This window comes from Homo sapiens, chromosome 3 (genome assembly GCF_000001405.40).
Source record: "Homo sapiens chromosome 3, GRCh38.p14 Primary Assembly".
Classification (NCBI taxonomy): domain Eukaryota; kingdom Metazoa; phylum Chordata; class Mammalia; order Primates; family Hominidae; genus Homo; species Homo sapiens.
This window is the reverse complement of record NC_000003.12, coordinates 75,641,692-75,662,988: the sequence shown is the minus strand read 5'-3', so window position 1 is coordinate 75,662,988 and position 21,297 is coordinate 75,641,692. Positions and strand designations below refer to the sequence as shown.

Here is a 21,297-nt window from a genome sequence, read left to right as displayed (position 1 = left end):
ATATAAAATTTGGTCAGGTAATTTTATAAGAAAATTGAGTTACATTTTTTAACAATATTAACATATAAACTCAATAGAAAGCTAGGAAAATTGTCTGCTCTTGTGTAAATGACTGCTTTTTGGATAACTCTGTAAAAGGTGTGAAGGGGGTCTGCTACTTACTTGATAGTAAGTACTTGATAAGACATCGACTTCCACATCTTTGCTGTTTTTAACCAGTGCCCTCTCAAGATATGAGAATATTTTACTCTAAGGAAGTATTTTCATAGATATCATAATAGGAATTTTGTTCATTTTAGTTAATAAATTATTATAACATTTAGTGATTATTAATAATTTATGTCACTGTTAAAATATACTCCTACAGACAACATATTACATATGTGTTTTGATTTGTCCTTTAATCTCAGGTAAATTTTTTAAATTTTTATTTATTAAATTCTATATATTTTAGATAAAAGAGACCTTGTAACTGCCATATGATGTACTTTCTTAGAAAGAGAAATTCTCAGGCAAAACTCAGGTCTGGCCAGGCACGGTGCCTCATGCCTGTAATCCCAGCACTTTGCGAGGCCAAGGCGGGTGGATCGCCTTAGGTCAGGAGTTCAAGGCTAGCCTAGCCAACATAAGGAAACCCCATCTGTACTAAAAATACAAAAAAAAAAAAAAAAAAAAAAATTAACTGAATGTGGTGGCTCACGCCTGTAATCCCAGCTAGTTGGGAGGCTGAAGTGGGCAGATCACCTGAGGTCAGGAGTTCAAGACCAGCCTGGGCAACATGGTCAAATCATGTCTCTACTAAAACATACAAAAATTAGCCAGATGTGGTGGCTGTTGCCTATAATCCTAGCTACTCGGGTGGCTGAGACTGCAGAATCACTCAAACCTGGGAGGTGGAGGTTGCCATGGGCCAAGATGGTGCCACTGCACTCCTGCCTGGACAATGAGTGAAAACTCTGTCGAAAGAAAAGAAAAGAAAAGAAAAGAAAGAAAAACTTGAGAGGCAATGCTTAGCTAAGTGGCTCTCAGCCCATGCTTCCAGTCATAATCACACGGCCAGCTTAAAGAAATACCATCACCTGTGCCCTCCCCAGAGACTCTGTCTATTGGTCTTGGTGGGAGCATCTATGTGGTTGTAATTAGAAAGTCAAATTGTCCCTCTTTGATAATTATATAATATCATATATACAAAAATTCTAAAGACCACCAAAAAAACTCTTAGATTTGATAAATAAATTTAATAATGTTTCAGGATGCAAAAATCAATGTACAAAAATTGGTAGCATTTTTATACACTAATGATGATCAAGCTGAGAACTGAATTAAAAAGTCACTTCCTTTTACAATAGCTACAAAAAAGGTAAAATGCTTAGAAATACAATTAGTCAAAGAGATGAACGATCCCTACAAGGAAAACTACAAAACACTGATGAAAGAAATTGTACATGACACAAATGAGAAAAACATCCCATGCTCATGGATTGGAAGAATTATGATCATTAAAATGACTCTACTGCCCAAAGCAATCTACATATTAAATGCAATTCCTACCAAAATGCCAATGTTATTTTTTATAAAATTAGAAAAAAAAAACACTAAAATTCACATGGAACCACAAAAAGAGCCTGAATAGCCAAAGCAAATCTAAGCAAAGAGAATAAAGATGGAGATGTTACATTATCTGACTTAAAATTATGTTAGAAGGCTGTAGTAACCAAAACAACATGGTACTGATATAAATTGACACCTAGATCAATGGTACAGAATAGAGAACCTAGAAATAAAGCCACATACCTACAAACAACTGATCTTTTACAAAGTCAACAAAAACATACACTGGAGAAATGACATCCTATTCAATAAATTGTGCTGGAAAAATCATATTGCCGTATGCAGAAGTATGGAATGGGACCCCTATGTCCCACCATATACAAAAATCAACTCAATATGGATTAAAAGACTAAAATGTAAGACCTGATACTATAAAAATGCTAGAAGAAACTCTAGGATAAACTCTTCTAGACATTGAAATAACAAAAATAGACAAAAGGAACTCAAACTAAAAAGCTCCTGAAAATGAGCTTTTTAATTAACACAGTGAACAGAAAACCTATGGAATGAGATAAACGTTTACAAGTTTTGCATGTGACAAAGATCTAATGTCCAGAATATACAAGGAACTCAAACAGCTTAACAAAAATAAAAAAGATAACCTCATTAAAAAGCAAGCAAAGAACATGAACATTAAAAAAAAAAAAGACACTGATGGTCAATGGTCAACTAGCACGTAAAAGATGCTCAACGTTGTCAATGATCAGAGGAATGCCAATTAAAAACCACTATGAGATACCAACTTACACTATGCAGAATGGCTATTACTAAAAAGCAGAAAAATGAGCTATCGGCAAGGATACAGAGAAAAGAGAACACTTATACATTGTTTGCGGGAAAGTAACTTTCTACAATCTCTATGGAAAACAGTATGGAGATTTCAAAATAGACTAAAAATAGAACTTCCATTTGATTCAGCATTCCCACTACTTGGTATATACCCAAAGGAAAATAATTTGTTACATAAAGAAAATACCCATGCTCACATGTTTATCACAGCACTATTCACAATAGCCAATACATGAAATCAATTTAAATTTATCGATCAATAATCGAATAAAGAAAATGTGCTATACAAGTATAACATGGAATGCTACTCAGCCATGAAGAAGAATAAAATCGTGTCTTTTGCAACAACATGAATAAAACCAGAGGCCATTATTGTAAGTGAAAAAACTCAGAAACAGAAAATCTAATTCTGTATTTTTTCACTTGCAAGTGGGAACTCAATTATGCATACACTTGGATATAGAGACTGGAAAAATAGACACTGGAGACTCAGAAAGATGGAAGGTTGGAGAGGGTTTAGGAATGAGAAAATAACTAATTGGGACAATAAACAACATTCAGATGATTGTCACACCAAAAGCCCATACTTCATCCCTATGCAACATGCTTCTGTAAGGGAGCTGCATTTGTACTCTCTAAAGTATTAATAAAGAGATTAAAAAAAAAAAAGGCCTGGCGCGGTGACTCAAGCCTATAATCCCATCACTTTGGGAGGCTGAGGCGGGCAAATCACGTGGTCAGGAGTTCAAGACCAGCCTGGCCAATACAGGTGAAACCCCGTCTCTACTAAAAAAAAAAAAAAATTAACCGGGCATGGTGGAGCACGCCTGTAGTCCCAGCTACTCAGGAGGCTGAGACAGGAGAATCACCTGAACCCGGGAAGCGGAGGTTGTGGTGAGCCGAGATTGCGTCACTGCACTCCAGCCTGGGGAATAGAGGGAGACTCCGTCTCAAAAAAAAAAAAGAGAGGAAAAAAAAAACTTTGGCTTTTATCAAGAGGACAAACTGAATAGACTTCATAATTTTCATAAATAAATAGATTAAGCAAAAAAATTTTAACAAAAATAAATAAAAAATAATATTGTATTTTAAGAATGGTATAGAAAGATAATTTGATGAATTAGAGTTGTTAGTACTTAGCACATACAATATATTAGGCAAGATTCTAAGCCACTTAGACCTTTATGGACAGAATAGGTAACAAAATAAAATAAATAACACAAAGATTCATTGACAATGACAAATTGACATCTTTTCAATCATATTAGGTGATATTAAAACCATTAACAAATTTACTGTTTTGTTTCATAATAAAAAAGAATGTTAAATAACTTCATTAAAAAGTTTGACTAATTAGGCATATAGATAAATGGGTAGCATTTTGACCAGTACACAGAGGATACACATTTTCAAAGACCAGACAAAATTATTTATTTATTTTTTTGGGGGAGAGAGCAGTTTCATTATCTGGGGTTACAGTGGGGTCCTCTCCCTGGGAGGTGGGGTCTTCCACTGGTTACCCCCGCCAGGGCTCCAGGGGGCGCCATGCGATTCAGTGCTGGGCTCCGCTGGGGGCCGGGCCTTGGAGAAGGCGAACTGTGCAGGGAAGCAGCAGCTGTGGGGTCCTCACCGCCCGCCCCGCCCGGCTGCACCCGGCCTCCTGGTGCTCCTCAGGCTCCCGCCGAGTCTGCGCCTCTGGAGGGCAGCGACCATCCTGCCCAGAACCTTATCCTCACATTCCAGTTTGACGCAGGTCAGGCATTTCTGCTTCCTCCTCTCGGGCTGGACTTTGCACTTGGGTTTCTTCCAGTCTTTCCTCCGGCCGCTTCTCTGTCTGCCGGAGCTTAAATTCCAGCCTCACAAATGTTCCAGCTGGGAAGGGCGTGTCCAGGGCGCTGTCCACACTGGTCTCCCGGAAGGCCCGCTGCACGGGCGGGTGCTTGAAGATTCCTCCAGGGCCACCTGCAGGCCCCGGCGCTGGCCCGGTGAGCTCGGCCCCTCCCGCGTCCCCCGCGCCCACCCACTGGGCCAGCGAGATCCGCAGCCATCTCAGGCTTCCCCTGTCACCCCGGCCCTGAGAAGCGGGTGTGCGCCCCTTAGTTCTCCGAGCCTGCCGGGAGCCACCTCCTCCCCTGCCCCTGGGGGGGTGGGCCATGCCCGCAGAACCCTGGGCAGAGGCGAAGGAACCGGGAAATGTCCCTTTCTCCACACTGACCTTGGGGTGTGCTGGGTCCTCTCTACTCCCTCCCACCCTGCCCGCGCTGTTCCCTGGGGCCCGCAGTTTCAGCAAAGTTCCCTGCCGCGCCGGGAAGCCGTCCTGTTGCCCACTCTCACCCTTCCTCCTTTTCTAGCCCATTCTCTCTCCCCACCTCCGACACGACCCTCTCTCCTCCCGGCTGTCCCCGGAGCCCCTCTCTGCTTCCCCAGCTCAGCCCCCTCTCTGACGGCTTCTCCCTCCCACCCCCAAGCGAATCTCCGGGTTCCCACGGGGTGCTCCGGATCCCTGGGGCTAGGTCAACCAGACAAAATTATTTTAAATGGGAAGATTTGAATTCCATTGAATTCATGAAAGCAGGAATCCATCTGGTCATATTTTAAATAATTTTGAAATGATAATAGCAACTATCAATTTAAAGTTTAACCAGAATTCAGAATACCCACCATTTTACCAGAAAAAAAAAACCTGTTATAACTAACCAACTAAGTCAGTAAATTTTCAGGATACAATATTAACATATGAACATCAGTTGCATTTTTTTACGGTAACAACAAAATATCTGAAACAGGAATAAAGATAGTTCCATTTACAATATTATCAAATAGAATGAAATACTTAGGAATGAGTTAACAAAGAATATGAAAGATCTGCATACTGAAAACTATAAAATGTTGAGGAAAGAAAATGAAAAATACAAAATGGGAAATATGTGTTCATGGATTCTAAAAATTAATATTATTAAAATATCCATACTACACAAAGTGATCTACAGAGTTAAATTTCTTTCAAAATTTTAATGCCATTTTATTAAAAATGTAGAACAACAATTTTAAAATTAGTAGGGAATCACAAAAGACCTCAAATAGCCAAATACTGAGAAGAACAAAAAGGCTGAAAGCCTTACACTTCCTGATTTCAAACTATATTTCAAAGCTGTAGTCATTAATATAGTATAGTACCTACATAAAAACCAATAAAACAGAATAGAGGACCCAGAAATAAACTCACAGATATACAGTCAACCAATCCCACAGAATGGAGAAAGGATAAACACATCAAGGAGTGGTGTAGGAAAAACTAGATATGCGCAGAAAAAAGTGAACCTTTCTCTCATGTCATCACAAAATGAATTTGAAATGAAATAAAGACTTAAACATAAGAACTGAAATCATGAATCCTCTAAAAAAAAAGGGGGGGAACCTCCTTGACACTGGTCATGGCAATGATGTTTTGGATTTGACACCAAGAACACAGTCAACAAAAGCAAAAATGAACAAGTGGAACTATGTCAAAGTAAAAAGTTTCTGCACAATAAAGGAAACAATCAGCAAAATATAAAGGCATTATATGGAATGGGAGAAAATATTTGTAAACCATATGTAGGATAATATGTTACTATCCAAAATATATATCATACTAATCAATACAAAAAACCCACAGCAGAATTAAAAGCAATTTCTTGATTAATAATTGGGCAAAATATATAAATAGCAATTTTTCCAAAGATATACAAATGGCCAGCAGGTATATAAAAAATGCTCAACATCACTAATTATCAGAGTAATTAAAGTCAAAATCACAATGAGGTATCACCTTATCGTGGTGTTTGGATGCCTATTATCAAACAGTCAAAAGATAAAAAGTGTTAGGGTGTAGAAAAAGAGAACACTTGTACACTGTTGCTGAGGATGTCAATTGGTGCAGCTATTATGAAAAACAGTATGGAGGTTCCTTAAAATTTTTAAACTAGAGCTACCATTAATCCCAATTCGGAGTATATAGCCAAAGGACATAAAATCAGGATCATCAAGGTTATCTGCACTCCTCTGATACAGATAAATAAACTGAGGGATACCTAATTTCGGCTTTAATAAAAATGAAACTCTTTCATCTACAACAATATTGATAAATCTTGAAGACATTATGCTGAGTGAAATAAGCCGAATACAGAAGGACAACTACTGCATGATCTCGTTTGTATGTAAAATCTAAAAAAGTAAATAAAAATAAAAAATAAAAAGCCATGGAAACAGTAGAACAGTGGTTCCCATGGGCTAGGAAGTGGGGAAAGTGGGGAGATTTCCATGGAAGGGGCGCACCTTCAGTTACAAGGTGAGTAACCGCTGGGACCTAATGTACAGAATAGTGACTATAGTTAACAATACTGTGTACTTGAAATTTGCTACAAGACTAGATCTCAGGTGCTCTCACCACACACAGAAACGTATTCACTATGTGAGGGGATAGATATGCTAACTAGCGTAACTGAGGTAATTTAAAGACTACTGACATCTCAAAACACTCTATTGTACACCCTAAAAATACACACTTTTCAATTTGTCAATCATAGCTCAACGAATGGAGAAAAAAAATAAGAGTAACCAGCAGATAATATCTAGCCACACGGAAACTCGATTTAAAACACGCTTGGCCACTGTTTCCAGCTCAACTAGGGAACAGCGGGAGCGCTTCTGGCCCCTGGACTTCGACGCTCCTCTCGCGGCCCCCGTGGCTGGGGAAGGTACAGTCGTTCCCAGGATTCCAGGCCGCACAGATCAGGCAGGGCCATCGCTGTCCCCTTGCTCTTGCGGCAGCCCCGTTAGGCTCCGCGTTTCGGGGCCTCCTGGCCGGGGAGGCTGCCTGTGGCTGCCCGCGCGCCCCCGTGGCTGTGGCTCCGCCGGCCCCCGCTTCGGCCCCGCGCAGCCCCTCCGAGGCCGCAGCCCTCTGGCCCCGAACTCACGGCCTCGGGCCCGTACCCGCCACCAGCGCCTTCTCTGTGGCCCCTCCTCCCCCTCCCCCAGCCCGAGCTGGCCCAGCAGAGAAGGAGGGCGGAGAAGCTGGAACCCGAACGCGGAGCTGCAGGCGGCAGGTGCGGGAACGGGAGAAGCTATGGCCTCGCACAGGACGGCTGCTCAGAGCGACAGGAGCAACCGCCAGGAGCTCCGCACGCAGCTGGAAGAACTCAGTAATGTACTCCGCTGTGGGAAAAATGGAGATAATAAAAGTCTGATGTAGAAGTACTCGCAGAGAACCATGCTCCTTGGTCAATCTCAGATTATTATCAGATCTACTGTAATGATGTTAGTCTTCCAAATACAGTGAGTGACTGAACTGTCAAATCAGCAAGATCAGGATATTGAAACTCCTGCTTTCAATTCTAACGACCAGTTATAAATAGAAAATGATGTTCACCCTGGTACTGATAGGACACCAAATGTTAAATGTAGACAAGAGGGTCATTTGCCTCAGATTCACAGGAGCCAGCATCTGCATTAGCAGCAAGATACGTCCTTAGAAGGTTCGTCATTAGCTGGAAGTTTGAGAGCTGCAACAGAAGCGGCTTTATCACAGACTGGATTTAGTTATGATGAAAATACTGGACTGTATTTTGACCACAGCACTGGTTTCTATTAAGATTCTGAGAATCGAATATATTATGATTTCATTTATTACTAATGTGATGTGGAAAGTGGTCGCTATCGGTTTCATTCTCGAGTAGATTTGCAACCTTATCAGACTTATAGCACAAAACAAAAATAAAAAATTCAGAAAAGAAAGGATCCAGATTCTTCTACAAAAAAAAAAAAAAATGAGGAAAAGGATTTGAATTCAGAGGATCAAGAAGCCTTCAGTGTTGAACATACAAGCGGCAATGGGAAAGACAATTTCACAAATGTGAAAAAAAAAAAGCCAAAATAGGTATTCAACACAAAAATAATCCCCCAAAATTCACTGTTCCAGTTAGTGGAAATACTATGGAATCTCCTCTTAATGAAAACATCTCAATTCATTTTTAAGGATGAGAAAATCACAGAGACTGATAGTGAACCAGAAGAAGGTGAAATTACAGACTCTCAGACCGAGGGTAGTTATGATGAAGGCATTACCAGTAAAGGCAATGCAACTGCAAAAGATACTGAGGAGGCAGATGAGGAAAAAGTGTGGCCCTCATATATGAGAGTAATTGTCATTAGATCACCTGTGTTACAGACAGGATCATTCTTCATCATTACTGCTGTAAAATCTGCTACAATTGGAAGAGAAAATGACATGGAGCATACTCTTCGAATCCCTGAAGTTAGTATAAGTTTCATGAAGAAATTTATTTTGACCATGACTTACAAAGTTATGTCCTTTTGGATCAGGCAGTCAAAATGGAACAATTGTTAATGTAAAATGGATTGTTCAGCTGAAAACTAAATGTGACCCTTATGAACCTGAGCATGGAGATAAAGTGAAAATTGGAGACACTGTGTTATCTTATTACATTCACCCTGGCAGTAATAGCTGTGTTGGATGTGAACCAGGGCATGTTAGAGCTCACCTTTTCCTTGATAAAAAAGATGAATCATTGGTTGGTCCATCACTAACTAAGAAGGAAACTAGTTGGAAAGAAGAAAAGGATTTTAAAAATATATGAGTAAAATATGGTTTACAGAATACAGACTACAAAGATGATAAGATACTGGAGAATCCAAAATGTAAAGATAGAGCTGGAAAACATAGGGAGCAGATTGGAAATGAAGGAAATTTCCAAAGAGATGATGCTCCTGCATCTGTTCATTCTGAAATTACTGATGGCGACAAAGGTCAGAAGATGTTGAAAAAGATGTGTTGAAAACAGGAGAAGGTCTGGGGAAGGATGGTGGGAGAATAAAAACTCCAATACAGCTTCAGCTCCGGCAAACACATGCAGGATTGGAGACAGACAAACCGTCTTCAATTAAAGAGACTCACCTTCTCCAAAACAAGAACAACAACAACAAGAACAACAACTGGGACAAAGCACAGGAGAGGTTTGCTGAAAACTTTCAACAACAACAACAACAACAACAACTGGGACAAAGCACAGGAGAGGTTTGCTGAAAACTTTCCAGAAACTAAACTTCAAAAAGATGACCTAGGAACCATTCCTTGGGTAAAAGGGACTGAGGAGTGAAGGTTAATCACAAAAGAAAACTCAAGCTTTTTTATAAATAGAGTTTGGAAACTCTTATTGCAGAATGTCTCTCCCCAAAAAAGTCAGTGGCACAAGAAAGCTGTGTCACAGTTTACCCCTTCCTGATTCAGAAATGTGTAATAAAGTGTGGTTTGCAGCTTTTAAAAAACACTTCTTAAACTAATTATTAGTGACTGAATTAAGTTATACAGTAAGTGAACTAAAGTTCACAGGGCACAGATAAGTTTATCAAACTTTACTATTTTATCTTGTCATTTACAACATCCATATAAGCAATTAGCCATATAAGCAAAATTCATGTAACCACTTAAATGCTCATTTGTCCTTGTCTCCATATATTCATAGTAGTATGCACAGAAAATACAGCAAAAGAAACATCTAAAGTCTATAAAAATAAATCTGACAATATACATTCTTGTTTATGCCCTTCAGGACCTAGATAAAAAATATTGAGACAACATGAATAGTGATGCATACATTTTCTTATATTTGGAATAGTCTAAATCATATTAAAGAACTAATGAACAGGTGACATGTCACAGAAAATTTGTCTTTTATTGTTTTCTTCGGTGAAGAATCTGAATTTGTTGATATATACTATACATTCAGCATTTGTATTTGGTTTGTTTCATAGCTAATCAAATGTTTATACATGAACAAATGAGTACAGTATTGAAATAGTCCATGTGCTGGCATTCATACTTTTTATAAATACCATTGCAGGCAATGAAGTTGTGCCAGAAAAATCTGATTTCGAGTACAAAAGGAATACTTAGCCAGGGCCTCAAGCTCAATATATTTATTGAAAATGTCCTAAATTGCCATAAAACTTTATAATGTTAAATTATTCATTTCAATAAATTATGAATTAAACAAAAAATACAAATGATGTCTTTTATGGATCAGAGAAGTGCTAATGAGGCAGAATGGCCGTTGAAGCCAAAAGATCTGAATCCAGGTAAATAATTTTACTCATATTAGTTTTATGTTAGAGAAAACAATACTTCTGACCATATACTATTTATTGCAGTGGAGTATTTCAAAAATATGTACATAATATATAATTAATTTTCTAATGATATAAAAGTAATCACATTCTACAAATTATTACAATATGGTCTATTGATGAGAGGGGTGTTTCAAATGAAAAAACTTGGAATTTCTCATGGTGATAGATGCCATAGAAAATCTATGCAAAATATTTCACTCATATATGCAACTATGGATATTTCTGCTTTTCAGAAAAATCATATACTTTAAACACTTAATGCAGACAATTAAAATCACCAAGAAGTTACAAGAATTCACAGAATGCATAATATAGTTGAAAGGAAATTACGAAAACTTCCCAGGACTGGAAGTAAATAAAGGTAATGATCCAGAGAAGTAATCAACCTAAGAGGCCAGGGCTCCACTCAGATGCATCTGATTACAAGAATGTCAGGTCCATGTGGGTTGTTCCCTTCTGACAAGGCAAATGGAATAAACAAAGAGAAACTGCCTGCAGGCATTGGAATGCGGTGTCTCCCATATGTGAGGATTAAATTATAAATTATGTTGCACACAAGGAGATGAGCTACTGGGGTGAAGCATCAGAAGAAATTATATGGCACATAAATCTCAGATATTGAATTTATATTTAAATGTTTAAGTCAATATAATGGAAAAACAAGAAACCAAAATAATGTGGAAAGAAACTAAGAGCTTGTCAAGCTATCTTTGGAAAAGAGGCAAATGCAAAGTAAAGTATTGAAAGTGTTGTAAAACAATTTAATGTACAACATACAAATAACATATTAAAATAGGCTGAGCCAAAAAGAGGGCTAGTAAAGTGAAATGCTGATCACAATTAATGTAGTCGTATATATTATAGAAGGCAAATTAATAGAAAATATAAATGTATTTTTATATGAAGATTAGATTGAGAAGAAATAAAAAGCATTTAATTGTTTTACCAGACTCTCTAAATAGGAAGGCGACAAAGAATCAGTGACTCATAAGTTTCAGAAATTGGAAACCAGACATGAATCCTTTAAAAGTTTAGGGTGTAATATATGAAAAAAAGGTAAATTAAGAAATACTTAGAAGAAATAATGGTTTGGGTTATGGTGAATACTGCTTAATAAACATGAGAATGCAGTTATCTTTTTTGACATGCTTATTTTGTTTCCCTTTGATATAAACCCAGCAATGAGATTGCTGGATCATATGGTAGTTCTATTTATAATTTATTGAAAAACCTCCATACTGTTCTCCCTATAGAAATGGGAAATGATTGTACTAATTTACATTCCTACCAACAGTGTATAAGTGCCCATCTACAGAATGAACAAAGAAAATGTTATACACACACACACACACACACACACACACAGACAGAATAATGTTCAGTCATAAAACAGAATGAAGTTCTGTCATTTGTGTCAACATGGATGAGCCTAGAGGACATTATGTTAAGTGGAATAAGCCAGGCACAGAAAGAAAAAGACCACTTGCTCTCTCATGTGAAATCTGAAGAAGTCCGTCTCATAGAAGTAGACAGTAGGATGGTGGTTACCAGAGGTTAGTGATGGCAGAAGGATGAAGGAGTGGGGAGAGCTTTGTCACTGGGTTACAAAGTTACAGTTAGGAAGAATAAATCCTGGTGTTCTATTACACAGCACGATGACTATAGCTAATAATAATGTACCGTTTATTCTATAATAGCTTGAAGCGAGGATTTTGAACTTTATTAGCACAAGGAAATAAATGTTTAAAGTGTTAAATATGCTAATTACTCTGGTTGGATCACTGTACAGTGTATATGGTACAATGTGATGCAGTGACACATCATATAATTAACATAATTTTACATGTTTGTGGAGTACAGTGTGATGTTTCACTGCATCACACTGTACCGTGTAGTATGATGCAGTGAAACATCACACCGTACGCCAGAAATATTACTGGTTCAGCAGGGAACTGTGGGACACAGAGCAGCTCCACGTTAGCCATGACCAGCAGCTTCACCTGTGTAGGGTAGCGAGAGGGGAAGGGGCCTGTGCTTGGCTGAGAGTTGACCCCTGACCCCATCCACTTTGACTGCTGGGTGCCAGCAGAGGTCAGGGATGCCTAACTTCAGGCAGAGGCAGGAAGCAAGGTCGTTGCCTGTTTTTTTTTTTTTTTTTCTTTTTTGAGAGAGTCTCACTCTGTCGCCCAGGCTGGAGTGCGGTGGTGCGATCTCGGCTCACTGCAACATACATAGAGGTGTACGTCTGAATCACACCTGCAGGAAGGTCCCCGGGTGAGATTAACAATCCCATATAAGTGCCGGTTCTGGGTATGAGAGTCAACCCCTCCTGTATGTTGTGTCTATGTACATAAGTCACATTCTCAATGGTGGAATGGATTTTTCCATGAGAGCCTTAATACCTTTTGAAAATTGAGTTATCTTAGTGGAGTCACAGCCTCACAAGTGTTTTGGATCTTGGTCAGGGAGTCATAAACCCACTTGTGGACAACATCCACTTATGAGAGCCAACTTTCCAACTTTTGACTGCCTCTGGGTGTGAGATTCAGAACCTCAATTATGGGCTGTGTCCATGTGGGAGAATGACAATTTTTACTGATGGCTGGGCTCAGGCAGGAGCCTTTCATCCTGCAGGTTTTGAGATAAATGATACATCACAATACCCAAAATATGCTGGGTGCAGGCAAAAGAGGAGAGCCATATTAGCTGGTTGCTAGGTCCAGTTATATGTCACCACCTCCGTTTTTGGCAGGGCTAAGGCAGAAGAGGAGAGTCAGAGCTAAAGAAATGTCACCGTGTCCCTGTGGGTAGGGCCTATGCATAAGAATTGCATCACCTAGTCATTGAACCCAGCCATATATTACAATACACAACATATACAGGGCCCAGGCAAGAAAGGAGAGTATATCACATAGGTACTGGGTCCAGCAATGTGTCACAATACCCCCTGAGGGGAGGCTCCAGGCAACAGGGTAACATTACCTAAGTGAAGTGCCCAGAGAGATGTTTCAATGCCCCTGGTGAGTAGGATTTTGAAAAAGAAGTTACATAACCTAGGGGCCAGGCCTAGCTGTGTGTCACATTCATCTCCAAGACGGAGCCCAGACATGAGAGAAAAGTCACATCATGTAGGTACTGGGCAGAGTAATATGTCACAATCCTTATGTGAGCAGGCCCTAGGAAGAAGTAGAGAGTCACATAGTCTAGATGATGGGCCCAGAGGTATTTGACAATGACTCCTGTAGGTATGGACCAGGCAGAAGAATCACTTCACCTGTGTGCTGTGCCCAGTTATAAGTCACACTTCCCTCTGTGGGCATGACCGAGGCAGGGAGAAGAGTCACATCATCCTGGTGCTTGGCCCAAAGATATGTCACAATCTCTCTTATGGGCAATGTTCAGGTAAGAGAGGAGAGTCACATCAAATAGGTAATGGACACAGAGGTATGTCACAAGGCCTTCTGTGAACTTGATCCAGGCAGAAGATTCACATCAACTTGGTGCTAAGCCCAACAACATGTCACAATCCCTTCTGTGTAAAGGGACCAGACAGGAAAAGAGAATCACATTACCTGGCCAATGAGCACAGAGATCTGTCACAATGCCCCTTGTAGGCAGGGCCCAGGCAGAGGAGTTACATCACCTGGGTAGTGGACCCAGCAATATACCACAGTGTCCCATATGGGCACAAGCCGGAGAGTCACAAAACCTGGGTGCCAGTCCAAGCTATATAGAACAACGCTTCCTGTGGGCAGCATCGAGGCAGAAGAGGAGACTCACATCGCCTGGGTGCAAAGTCTAGCGATATGTCAAAATGCTCACTGTGGGCAGTGCCAAGGAAGGAGAATAGAGTTACACCCTCAAGGTGCTGGATCCAGCAATATGTTAATATCCCATCTGTGGGCTGGGTCCATGGAAGATCTTCAAGTCACTCAGGTGCTAGGCACTGGGAAATTTCATCATGAAACCTGCAGAATGGTCCAGGAATGAGATTAACAACCCCACAACTGTCACAGTTGTAGGCATGACATTCAACACCTCCTGTATGTTGGGTCTAAGCCCACGAGTAACCATCTCAACACCAGACTGGATTTGTGCATGAGAGCCTCAATTCCTCTGCAGATCGTGTCACCTTAGTGAAGTCACAGCCTCACAGTTGTGCTGAATCTTGGTCTGAGAGTCACCAACCCATGAGTATCCATATATGTCAATTTTTCCCACCTTTGACTGACTACAGGTGTGAGATTCAGAACCTCAACAGTGACCTGTGTTCATGTGAGAGGATGAGAATATTTACTGTTGGCTGGGTGTGCATATGAGTGCCACAGTCTCACCTGTGTGCTCGGCGCAGTTAGCAATCTCTGTGTACTACCCAATGGCACTGTACAGTATGAATGACAGTTGCAATCAACTTTGAGACCTTCCTGCTGGTAGGGACCCATGATCATACCTGTGGCATTAAGCCCGGGTATGAGAGTCAACGTCATTACAGTTAACTAGGTCAGGATAGGAGAGTCCTCCCTTGCCTATCAGCTGGGTTTAGAAATGAGCCACCATTTCAACTCTGCTTGAATGTTTATATATGAACACGGGCCTAGCACCAAGAAGATGTGAGTCTTTGGCCTAGACGCTTCAAGCAGGAGGCAATGTGACATATCTCTGGGCCTAACAACTATTTGATGCGAACTGCTTTTTCACCTGAGCTTTTCCCATAAAAGAGATGTGACATATGTCTAGACCCAGCACCTAGGTGATGTGGTTCTCCTTTTTTGACTAAGCCCTGTGTATTTTGGGTATTCTGACATATCCCTGCACCTAACATCTGGAAGATAAGAAGATCCAGCATGGGCCCTGCCTAAAAAGTTTCTTGTGACATATTTCTACGTTAATACCTTGGAGATGTGACTCTCCTCTCTTACCTGGGCTTTGCCCATAAGAGAGATTGTTACGTACCTCTGCAGCAAGCACCTAAATGCAGTGACTCTTCTTTCTTGCCTGGGTCATGCCCACAGATGAAAGGGTGGCTTATCGCTGTGTCCAGCACACCGGTTATGTGATTATTCTGCTTGATCTCTGCTCACAGGAGCCATTGTGACATATCCCTGGGCCCAGAAACTGTTTAATATGACTCTCCTCTATTACCTTAACTTTGTGCACAGGATAAATTGTGACGTATCTCTGGGTCCAGCACTTAGGTGATGTGACTCCTTTTGTGCATGGACTATGCCCACAGGAAGGAGGCTGATTTATGGCTGTGTTGAGAGCTGATGTGATACCTTGGTCCTTGTCTTCTTAGTTTATAATAATTTAAACAAGAGACACACAGAAAAGAAGTACAGCATAATTTATTGGAAAAGGAAAAAAAAATTTTTGAAAGTTAAGTGCAGAATACAGTACACCGTGAGAGAGATATTCCAGGGCGGGCTGCTCATAAGAGTGAGACAGCGTGGATTGTCGCTGGAGAAACCCCCTTATGGGAGTTTTACATTATTATTAGTAAGGAGGGGGGAAGAGGAGCTGCTAGTAAGCCTGTTCTGAGTGGTCTTCTGGGTGCACATGTGCAGTAGCTGTACATGCTTATTCATATTTTGCATGTCTCATTAGCATCTTAGACCTCTAGCCAGGAGTGTATTTTTGTTTGTTTGCTTGAGACAGAGTCTCGCTCTGTTGCCCAGGCTGGAGTGTGGTGGTGCAATCTCTGCTCACTGCAACCTCTCCCTCCCAAGTTCAAGCCATTCTCGTGCTCAGCCTCCTGAGTAGCTGGGATTACAGGCATGCACCACCATACCTGGCTAATTTTTGTATTTTTAGTTGAAATGGGGTTTCACTATGTTGACCAGTCTAGTCTTGAGCTTCTGGTTTCAAGTGATCCATTCTTCTCAGCCTCCCAAAGTGCTGGGAGTACAGGTGTGAGCCACCGTGCCCAGCTGGGGGGTGTATCTTTTGCTATTAAAATAAGCAAAAGTTAAGTTTGAGGACAGGTAAAATCAAAATGCACATGCTCTCTGGAACAGAAAGTCCTTAATGAAGATAGCTTTGCTTGAATGAGCCGAATTACAATGTGAATGCTAAGGCTCATTGTCTTGGCTGTACAGTTACCACAGTTTCAATGAAGGGGTGGCCTGCCCCTCCACACCTGTGGGTGTTTCTCATCAGGTGGAATGAGAGACTGAGAAAAGAAAGAGACACAGAGACAAAGTATAGAGAAAGAAAAGTGAGCCCAGGGGACTGGCGCTCAGCATACAGAGGACCAACGCTGGCGCTGGTCTGAGTTCCCTCAGTATTTATTGATCACTATTTCTACCATCTTTGAGAGGGGGATGTGGCAGGACAATAGGGTAATAGTGGGGAGAGGGTCAGCAGGAAAACATGTGAACAAATGTCTCTGTGTCATAAACAAGGTTAGAAAAGTTGCTGTGCCTTGATGTGCATGTATACAAACATCTCCATCCATTAAAAACAGTATTGCCACCAGCATGTCTCAACTCCAGCCCTAAGGCAGTTTTCTCCTATCTCAGTAAATAGAACATACAATCGGGTTTTACAGCGAGATATTCCATTGCCCAAGGATGAGCAGGAGACAGATGCCTTCCTCTTATCTCAACTGCAAATAGGCCTTCCTCTTTTACTAATCCTCCTCAGCACATACCCTTTATGGGTGTCGGGCTGGGGGATGGTCAAGTCTTTACCTTCCCAGGAGGCCGTATTTCAGACTATCACATGGGGAGAAACCTTGGACAATACCTGGCTTTCCTAGGCACAGGTCCCTGTGGCCTTCCACAGTGTATTGTGTCCCTGGGTACTTGAGATTAGAGAGTGGTGATGAATTTTAACAAGCATACTGCCTTCAAGCACCTTTTTAACAAAGCACATTCTGCATAGCCCTAAATCCATTAAACCTTGAGTTGACACAGCACAAGTCTCTGTGAGCACAGGGTTGGGGCTAGGGTTACAGATTAACAGCATCTCAAGGCAGAAGAATTTTTCTTAGTACAGAGCAAAATGGAGTCTCTTATGTCTACTTCTTTCTACATAGACACAGTAACAGTCTGATCTCTCTTTCTTTTCCCCACATTTCTGTATCCCGAGATCATGGTCATTTTCTTGACTATCTATTCTGATCTATTCTGCCTCAGTTTCCCCCTAAGAGATCTTAGGGTCATAATCATATTGGAGGTTGAGGGGCTAGGTCACTTTTTCTGGAGCTGTTTCCTGCTGAGTGGGTGTTATTTCTGCCTAGTCTGGGCCCTAAAGTTTCTTCCTGTGTGATCTAACCGGGTGTAAACCATGTAATTCGTGGAACCAGTGGGCAAGATGTTGACAGCCAAATGTTGAAAGCCTTGCAAAACCTTCATGCAAACATGGAGTTGCCGTAAGCAAGAGAGCAAGAAATCAGTTAACATTTTAAACAAAATTGGAACAAAAGTAAAAGCTGAAAGTATAGTAATGGCTGTTACTATTAAAGAGAGTAAGGCAGGTAATAGACATTGCTTTCATGGTCCCATGGAAGTTCCTAGAGATTCAATTTTGTCTGCCTGGGTGATGATATTATTAATATTTTCTTGGACTAAACCGGGCTGATTGATCTCAAAAACAGCATTCTTCTTTTAGATATAAACATGTTCCTCTTTGCCCGGCTGGGAGAAGATCCCAGGCTCTTTGCTTTTGTCGGACTACAGTGTCCATGGAGTCCAGACATTGTTGAAGTCTATTGAGGCCCTCTGCTGCTTGTTGCGGACCCATTGAGGTTTTCTGAGATAGTTTATACTGGATTCCCAAGGCTCCACCTTATGGTGACATTTATGCTGCAAAAGTATTTTGCATTAAAATGGTGAAAGCAACAAACGTTTTAAGTATTTTCTATTTTTTGCTAATAAGCAAAATTTTGTGCAGCTAAGTTGGCAGCAGTCATTCGGTCCATTTGTGGATGGTACAGTTGAATGGTGGTCAAAGTTAGAGCCTGGAAGCCTTCAGTAAATACGCTGAAGTTGTCTGAGGGCCATCAGAGTTGTTGCTTATATTGGATTAGATCATTTATTGAGAGTAGAACAAGCACTCTGATGGTCCTCTCTCCATTTGGGACTTTCTGTAAGGGGAGCAATTTCTCTGGCCCTGGATGGTGTGAAGTCCCACTGTGAGTAACTGCAGCTGTGCTGGTCTCTATTGTACCTGGCAAAGGCCGATGGAAAGGAGCATAAGGAGGAGGTGAAACAAGCTTAGATTCTACAGAAGACTCTGATAGTGTGGGGATGCTGGGGATTCTAAAAGAGGTGTGGACCCTTGAGGGCCCCTGTCTGGAGCTGGTGTTGGGCTGTGGGGTCTGGGGTCCCTTCCCCTTAATAAGAGATGATCTTCCCATTGTTCTGAGGGGCTTTCTGGCTTACTAGGCTTTAGCCCACAGGTGCTGCATAGAGCTGGATTTTGTTGTCAGGCCAGAAAGGCTTGCACATAGGATACTTCAGACCATTTTCCCTGATTACTACAGAAAAGATCTAGCTGTAGGATGGAGTTAAAGTTCACAGTCTCATTCTCCAGCCATGTTTTGTCAGCTAATCTGTAGGCAGGCTAAATAGTGTTACAAAAGAAGATAAGGTTTTCTTTTTTCTAAGTTCATTTAGCCAAAAGCTGTTCTAATTTTTAGATATACATCCCAGGGGTGTTTCAGTGACAGTAGAGGAAGCGGCTCCCACGGTGCCGAGAGAATCCTGCAATGACAGAACATTTACTGAAGTCCAGGAGGTTGTGGGCATCCTCATGAGCCAAGTGAAAACATCAAGGGGTCCAGCGCATCCCCTCGAAACCCCATTAACTGAAGCTCTAGGAGGTCATAGGCATTTGCCATACACCGTCCTAGCTCCCCCCAGCGGTGGACATCTCCAGCCCTACCGAGATGACCCCCACTGCGGGCTGGGGGGCAGATGTCTGGCTGACAAGCCTTGCCCTAATTCACTGGTTTGCCATTTGTGACGCCCAATTACAACACCTGGAATGCTCAGATGCAATCCCTACGACTGGGCATCTATATGACTGTGCATCTTTTGTTCAGCAAAGAAAGCCTGCTGAAGAACAATTTCAAGGAGCTGGGAAATGCATAAAGCCTGAAGGGACAGGGTTCTCTTAATGTGCTGCTCAAAACAAAACAAAAATTTTGTAAACAGAAAACCTGACCAGAAAATAAATTACAATAGCCACTAGGTGGCGATCGAGTATTGCTGAACGGACAGCAAACGATAAGCTGAGTCCAAACTGTGGCCAGAAAGATGTGAAACTAAGCGGCAAATAGCCCAAATATGAAATGTTGAGGGCAACCCATGTGGTTAGCGTATTTATCGATGCTACAGAAGCAGCAGCGAAAAGGAGAGCGGACATATATTCTCTCTCTAAAGAATGCAGGTGACTTAACAACGTTTCCCCCAGAACTTTACTGAAACAGCGCTGGAACAAGCAGCGATAGTTAACCAGGTAGTCTGGAACTGCCATAGTATTCACTGCAAGTAAAGGGAAACTGAAATTAATGAAGCAGACAAACCTCTCCCCAGGTCATGGCACCAGAAATGTTGATGGCTGATGTAATACCTTGGTTCTTATCTTCTTAGTTTAAAAGAATTTAAACAAGAGACACACAGCAAAAGAAGTACAGCATAATTTATTGCAAAAAAAAAAGAGAATATTTTGAAAATTAAGTGCAGAATAGACGGTACAGTCTGAGAAAGAGATTCCAGGGCAGCCTGCTCATAAAAGTGAGACAGCATTAATTATTGCTGGAGAAACCCTCTTTATGGGAGTTTTGCATGATTATTTCATAAGAAGGTGGAAAGAAGTGTTATAGTAAGCATGTTCTGACTGGTCTTCTGGGTACACATGTGCAGTAGCTGTACATATTTGTGCATACATTGCATGCCTCACTAGCATCTTAAATCTCCACCCAGGAATGTGTTTTTTACTATTAAAATGAACAAAGGTCAGCTTGAGGACAGATAAAATCAAAATGCACATGCTCTGTAGAAGTAAAAGTCCCTACTGAAGATAGCGGGTTTCAAATGACCCCAAGTGCTCCACATCTTAAAAGTTGCTCCCGTAAAGCTGGAACACTATCTGTTCCTGAGGTATCAGGTCCCATTTGTGGCTCTGAGCCACTGGCAAGCCAGGCCTGACTTGAGATGAGACCAATGATTTCAAGTGTAAAATGCCTAAATAGTAGCTTCAGGTTGCATTTTGGAGCTGGTCCACTTAAATGGGTTGATGAAAATGGCTCACAAGACTCACGCCTCGGAAATGGGGTTTTTCCTTTGCTCTTAGCAGATTTTATGCAACCCAATAATTAACCTTTCTGATGCCTAGACTTTCACATTCGTGAAAAAGGCGCCATTGAAAGTGACCTTTCCAGGAAGCCACAGCCCTTGTCACCCCTGCAGAGCTCTGAAGCTGCTCACAAGCAGGCCAGGTGGAAGATTTCTCTCAAAAACGATTGAGTGCGTGCTCTGGCTAGAGAAAAAAGAGGGCTGCGGCACTATGGACAGTGTCTTGGACATCAGGAAATTTTTCACGCAGTTTGGGAAAGAAGGCAGCGCCCTGGGCTGCAAAAGATGTACTGCTCTGGAAAGAACCCTGGGTGCAACTGAAAGAGGAACCTGAGAAGGATAGGGCCAAGCAGGTGAGGACAACCCGCCCGATTTGGGAAAAGGTAAGGTATCTTCGTAGGGTAATACC

General features: G+C 41.2%; 2 pseudogenes; one reads left to right on the top strand and one right to left on the bottom strand.

The window, feature by feature from the left end:
• Positions 3,851-4,474, bottom strand: RARRES2P1 (retinoic acid receptor responder 2 pseudogene 1; annotated as a pseudogene).
• Positions 7,251-9,737, top strand: AGGF1P3 (angiogenic factor with G-patch and FHA domains 1 pseudogene 3; annotated as a pseudogene).
• Positions 9,738-21,297: the final 11,560 nt, after the last annotated feature.